Source organism: Homo sapiens, chromosome Y (assembly GCF_000001405.40).
Source record: "Homo sapiens chromosome Y, GRCh38.p14 Primary Assembly".
NCBI classification, from domain to species: Eukaryota; Metazoa; Chordata; class Mammalia; order Primates; family Hominidae; genus Homo; species Homo sapiens.
In genome coordinates this window covers 14,125,885-14,133,461 of record NC_000024.10, presented here as the reverse complement: position 1 = coordinate 14,133,461, position 7,577 = coordinate 14,125,885, and positions in this window count along the sequence as shown.

The following is a 7,577-nucleotide window of genomic DNA, read 5'->3' as shown; positions in this document are numbered from 1 at the left end:
GGTTATGACTTTTGCCAAGTATACTGCTTGTAAACATTTTGTTAACAAGGCACATCCTGCACAGCCCTAGATCCCTTAAACCTTGATTTCATACAACACATGTTTTTGTGAGCTCCAGGTTGGGTCAAAGTGGTTGGCTAAAAGTGTCTGGGGCAAAGCTACAAATTAACAACATCTCAGCAAAGCAACTGTTTAAAGTACAGGTCTTTTTCAAAACGGAGTCTCTTATGTCTTTCCTTTCTACATAGACACAGTAACAGTCTGATCTCTCTTTCTTTTCCCTACATCCTTCCTTAGCCTCCTCAGTAGCTGGGATTACAGGTATGTGCCACCACTCTCGGCGAATTTTTTGTATTTTAGTAGAGACAGGATTTAATCATGTTGCCCAGGCTGGTCTTGAACTTCTGAGCTCAGGTAATCCCCCCACCTCTGCCTCCCAAACTGCTAGGATTACCAGCGTGAGCCGCTGCACAAGGTCAAGTCATGTCTCAACCCTTGTGAGTTAATGGTAAAGCATACACACACACACACACACACACACACACACACCCTTTATGTATGTGTATGTGTGTGTATGAGTGTGTGTTTATATTTCTTTGGCTTAGCCATCAACAAATTTTGACCTAAGTTCACAATCCAAGCACTTAAACTACTCAATATGAGCCATCTGGAGTATCAAATTATTTGGAGTTTCCTGATGAACTTTGTCTTGATTTATCTTTTATGTTTTATGTTGTGCCTTGTCTTCATTTTCATTTGAGCGTTGCCTCACAGCTTTTTGGTTTTCAGTTGATACGAACATCAAATCAGTGAGAAGGACAGTCTCTTTTTTTTCATATTTTGAGATGGATTTTGCTCATTACTGAGGCTGGAATGCAATGGAGTGATCTCAGCTTACCACAACCTCTGCCTCCTAGATTCAAGCAACTCTCCTGCCTCAGCATCTGAGTAGCTGGGATTACCAGCATGTGCCACCATGCATGGCTAATTTTGTATTTTTAGTAGAAACAAGATTTCTCCAGGTTGGTCAGGCTGTTCTCAAACTCCTGACCTCAGGTCATCTGCCTGCTTGGCCTCCCAAAGTGCTGGGATTGCAGGTGTGAGCCACCATGACCATCATGAGCCACCACCCGGCCTGAGTACAGTCTTTTTTTGGATCTGTTTATGCCTCATATTTTTGAGTATCTCAAGTTTGCCTGGGGTGTCCAGAAGTCATTTTCTCAGTTATGTGACTTAGAACATGATTCTAAGACATAAGTAACCCTACCTGGCAAACTCCTCTTTAAGCATCCTGCTATGGACTGTATTTCATTTCTAGATAATACAGTGAAAAGGGAGGCATCCATACAGTACAGTATCACAGGAATCAGTGAGTTATTAGATCTATGAAGAAAAAGGACACAAAAGGAAAAGCAGAAATAAATACAAAAACCATATTCTGAATGCACTAGGTCAGTCGGTAACAATAATTAAAAAGTGAGTTCACTTGATGAATTTGGGGAAAATCCAAAAGATCATCAAAATTGCAGGTGACTCAGAAATAGATTAAAAACAGACCTCAGGTCACAAAATCTTCATTTCTCCTCTCCAACTTCTAAACATGCCACATGATTTTCTTATCCACCAAATCTTTCTCCTGATCATAGACAACTCTCACTCATATTATCAACATATATAAAATGGATTAAAATGATGAGGTCTTCAAATTTATTCAGAGTAAATGCTGCTTTAAAAATGATTATGCAACACTGAAAAATGATCATGCTGAAAAAACATACTTGGACCGAAGTAACGCTATATAACCTGTCTGATTTGGGTAAAAATCCGTCTTATTCTTTCCATCTTGGTCACAAGGACAAAGATAATTTTATTGTTTTATGGTTTTTCCGGACATCTTCCATATACACAGTTGGATGGATGTTATTTGATGCATTTATTTTTCTGAGTAGCGAATATTAAGTCAATTCTTGTTCTTGCTACATGAAATTAAGAGCTTTTCTTCCACAATCACGTAACACGGGCTCTGGCAAACCAACATGCAGGGTCACAGTCATGTCAAAGAAGCATCCTAAACCCAATCTTGTCAAAATTTTAAAAAACAGAAAACACTGAAATACCCCATGTAGATGAATAGTGTATTAGTCCTTTCTCATGATGCTGTTAAAGACATACCTGAGACTGCGAAGAAAGAAGTTTAATTGGACTTGCAGTTTCACATGGCTGGCAAGGCCTCAGAATCATGGTGGGAGGCAAAAGGCACTTCTTACATGGTGACAGCAAGAAAAAAAGAGGAGAAAGCAAAAGCGGAAACCCCTGATAAACCATCAGATTTCACGAGACTTATTCACTACCACAAGAATAGTGCAAGAAAGACCAGCTCCCATTATTCAAATTAGCTCCCACCAGGTTCCTCTCACAACATGTGGGAATTATGGGAGTATATTTCTAGATTAGATTTGGGTGGGGACACCGAGCTAAACCATATCAAATAGGTAGGTATATCATGGACTCTGCATAAAAGAGAGTACTATACAGGTGTTAAGAGTCATGTTTTCAACCCATTTGAGTTCATGGGTAAATGATCAAAAATATAATGTTGACAGGTAAAGGTTATCACGCCATCTATATATTATTAATTAAGTTTTTAGGGATATGCATATTTTTAAAGATAGATAGATAGATAGATAGATAGATAGATAGATAGATAGAAAAATAGATAGACAGATAGATAGATAGATAGACAGATAGATAGATCTATGTATGCCCCTCTTTATACACCCTTATGTGTATCTGCCACCACACATAGAAAGAGAGACAGAGAGAGTTAAAGAAGAAGATGGGGAAAGAGGAGGTACGGGAGGAGGAAGAGAAGGTGAAGAGGGAAGGAGGTCGTAATTTTTAAAAAGCTTCAACTGTAATGCAAAAAAAAAAAAAAAAAAGCATCCACAGAAAACAAACATCCATTTTAATTTTTCCCAGTGAAAGAATAGACTTTTCTGGGACCTGAGTATAAAAGCAGGGATATATCTGTCTATTCTCCCTCTCAAGTTGGTCAGTGTGATGCTGCTGGCCTGCCTTTGTGTTTGAGTGAGGAAAGACCTGCACTCTAGTAACGACCTAGCAGTTAGCTTGGAGGACCCTGGACATATGTCTCCAGTTCTATCCAACACTCCTCTAAAGTGCCTGTAGTATTGTATCAGTCTGTTTTCATGCTGACATGCCCAAGACTGGAATAAAAAGAAGTTTAATTGAACTTACATTTCCATAAGACTGGGGAGGCTTCATAATCATGATGAGAGGTGAAAGATGGTTCTTACATGGTAGAGGCAAGAGAAAAATGAAAAAGAAGCAAAATCAAGAACCTGGATAAACCCATCAGATCTCCTGAAACTTATTCACTATCATGAGAATAGCATGGGAAAGATCATTCCCCATGATTCAATTACCTCCCCCCGTGTCCCTTCCACAACATGTGGGAGTTATGGGAGATATAATTCAAGTTGAGATTTGGGTGGGGACAGAGGCAAACCATATCATTCTACCTCTGCTCCCCTACAAATCTCATGTTTTCACATTTCAAAACCAATCATATCTTTTCAACAGCCCCAAAGAATCTTAACTCATTTTATCATTAACCCAAAAGTCCACAGTCCAAAGTCTCATCTGAGACAAGGCAAGTCCCTTCTGCCTAAGAGCCAGTAAAATCTAAAGCAAGCTAGTTACTTCCTAGATACAATGGTGATACAAGTATTTGGTAAATACAGCCATTCCAAATGGGAGAAATTGGCCTAAACAAAGGGGTTACAGGGCCCATGCAAGTCTGAAATCCAGCAGGGAAGTCAAATTATAAAGCTCCAAAATGGTCTCCTTTGTCTCCTGGTCTCACACCAGGTCACACTGATGCAAGAGGTAGGTTCCCATGATTTGGGGCAGCTCTGCCTCTGTGGCTTTGCTGGGTACAGCCTCACTCCGGGCTGCTTTCGTGGGCTGGCATTGAGTGTCTGCAGCTTTTCTAGGCATATGGTGCAAGCTGTTGGTGGATCTACCATTCTGGGATCTGGAAGACAGTGGCCCTCTTCTGGCTACATCCACTGGGCAGTAGCCCAGTAGGGACTCTGTGTAGGGGATCCAACCCCACATTTCCCTTTGACACAACCCTAGCCAAAGGTTATCCATGAGGGCCCCACCCCTGCAGCAAACTTTTGCCTGGGCATACAGGTGTTTCCATACATCTTCTGAAATCTTGGACGTTCCCAAACTTCAATTCTTGACTTCTGTGCACCCACAGGCTTAACACCACAAGGCAGCTGCCAAGGTTAAGAGCTTCCACCCTCTGAAGCCACAGCCCAAGCTCTATGTTAGCCCCTTTCAGCCACAGCTGGAGCAGCTAGGACACAGGGCACCAAGTCCCTAGTCTGCACATAGGATGGGGACCCTGAGCCCAGCCCACAAATTCACTTTCTCCTCCTGGTATTCCAGGCCTTTCATGGGAGGGTCTGTCATGAAGGCCTCTGATATGACCCGGAGAAATTCTCCCCATGCTCATGGAGATTAACATTAGGCTCATTGCTCCTTATGCAAGTTTCTGCAGCCACCTTGAATTTCTCCCAAGAAAATAGGAATTTCTCTTCTATTGCATAGTCGGGCTGCTAATTTACCAAACTTTTATAGTCTGCTTCCCTTATAAAATTGAATGACTTTAACAGTACTCAAGACAATTCTTGAATGCTTTGCTGCTCAGAAATGTCTTCCTCCAGATACCCTAAATCATCTTTCTTAAGTTCAAAATTCCACAATTCTGTAGGGCAGGGGCATATACCCCAAAACTCTTTGATAAAACATAAAAACAGTCACCTTCACTCCAGTTCCCAACAAGTTCTTCCTTTTCAACTAAGACTGCCTCAGACTAAACCTTACTATCCACATCGCTACCAGCATTTTGGGTAAAGCCATTCAACAAGTCTCCAGGAAGTTCAAAACTTTCCCACGTTTTCCTGTCTTCTTCTGAGCCCTCCAAACTGTTGCAACCTCTGCTTGTTACCCAGTTCCAAAGTGGCTTCCACACTTTTGGGTACCTTTTCAGTAGTGCCCCCCTCTACATCAATTTACTGTGTTAGTCTGTATTAACACTACTGATAAAGATATACCTGAGACTGGGAAGAAAAATCAGTATAATTGAACTTACAGTTCCCTAAGGCTGGACAGGTCCCAAAATCATGGTGGGAGGTGAAAGGTCCTTCTTACAATTCAAGTTGAGATTTGGGTGGGTTCACAGCCAAACCATATCATGTATTATAGCATAGTAAAAAACATGTTTAGTCTCCGGCCCTCAGTTCCTGGCAAAAGAACTTGCCAGGAACACCTAAAATCCTCTAGATAGAGGTGCTAGAAGAATCTTTTTTTCTAATACTTTTATTTGACTTTCAGTTCCTGGATCAGAGCTCTTAAATTCTTAGAAATGTTCTGGGTGATAGGAGAATATTTTGTTCTTCTGGTGGGCTCTTGAAAAGCCTCAGGATGGGGCTGGTTGCCAGGGAAACCAACCTTGTCACTGGAGGATTGGAACTCCCTCTAGGAACTGGAGAAGGACTAAAAGTTGAGTTGATCACTGTCTTTGTTCATTGAACCAGCTATACCAAAATATCTTGCTGGTGAGGAAGAAGATGGAGGAGATGGAGAAAAAGAAGAGGAAAGGGGGGAGGAGAAGGGAGAAGAAGAAAGAGAAGGAAGAAGAAAAGGAAAATGGGGAGAGGAAGGAGGATCAGATGAAGGTGGAGGAAAAATACTCAGAATCCTAAGAGACGTTAATAAATGATTATGTCTAAGTGATGAGATTTCTACTTTTTTTTTAATTTTCAGGACTTCCAAGATATCATTAACTATTATCCTAACTGGTACTTTATAAAATTAAGAGCAAATGACAAGCTGAAACTCCAAATTTTCTGAAAAGCATGACGCATAGGATACAAAACCTGCTATTAGGAAAAAAAGATAGGGGAAGGGCCCCAAGAATTACATGAGGTAAGTGTTTGTTGTGTTCTGATGAACACAACACAGGATATTGTAGGAATAAGGCTCAAGGCTCCGCTTTTACTTTCAGTGATACAGGACAAGACAATGTCTGAATCTAAGAATCAAGGTTAAAGATAAAGAGGCTTCCTTTTAAGAAATTCTGTGGGCTTGACATGGCCACTGCATCCCCATCAAGATCCCTTTATTTAGTCTCAAGGCATGGAAGTGTCAAACTGTAAGTCACTCATAGTGTAATACCACTCAGGCTAAATTTCGACCAGGAAGTGTGGTGTACTCAAAGCAATTAAGCATTACTCTAAAGGTGATTGTCCTACAAAGAGATGATATGGTGTTTTGCTACCATTTCCTCACAAATTACTGTTGTACTATATAATCAGTTGGGGAGAATGGCAGTATTCACTTTGGACAAGTATGAAGAAAGTAACTGTTAAATTGTTAAATCTGTAGCTTATGTGCTCACCCAAAGAACTGTGCTTTTACACAAATTAACATGAATGAATACACCTTTCAGAAACAGATGGTTCTTACTCCAAGGTAATGTGTTAGTAGGAAGTTCAGATAATCTGATTGTACCTCAACAAAGGGATGAGTGCCAGGCAGATGCTGTTCCAACCGCTCTTTGTGGTCCATTAGCTGGTTGAAGTGCCATCTGGCATTCATTTGAGATGGTCACCTGAGAAACCTAAATTAACATAACATTGCTGAATCAGGTAATCATGCACCATCCTTTATCAGGTAGCCACTTTGGGTTTGAACCAAAGAAAGATGAGCTTGAAAGGTGTGAAGACTGTAGTAGTACTACTTTAAAAAATAAGATATTGTCCTTGATTGAGTTTTTTTTTTCTTTTGGAACAAGGAAACAAACATATTTCTTAAGTTAGATCTCTCTTTACACTGGCTATCAGGAGGATAATTAAACTCCTCATGCCACATGACAAATATTTGTTTGAGATGTTGTGGTAGCTGAGATTTCTTTCTCTGAAACACAATCAAACAAATATACAAAGCATATACTTGTATATATATTTAATTTTAAAATTTTGATTGCCATTTTGTTAAATGTTAGAAATTTTTCAAAAAGCATGTTATTTAGCTGTTATTTTTGTCTTAATACTTTTTTATTAAACAATTTGTGTCATAAACACATTTTCTTATTTCGAAAAACAGCACACACATAGTCAATGTTTCTTCTTAGCCATCTTCTCCTTTTCCAGATATCAAATTCTCCCAAAGCCCCATTCTTGACATCTGTTTTTCCTCCAGCTCTTGTGTCTCTGCAGACAATGTTATCTATTCTCACAGTCATGTATAGTGTTTATATCATGATGACCTCAAATTCTTATCTCCTGCTCTGACTTCTCTAAATTCCTAAATCTAACGGGCTAATTCATACCTACATTTTGATGCCTACAAGGCAACTCAAAATGAGCACGTCCAAAATAAAGCTATTGGTTCTAGATCCTACACAAACTCCAACTCTCATCTTCAGTTTCTGTGTCTCAGTGAACAGCATGTGCACCCAGGTATATACACGTGATTCCTGT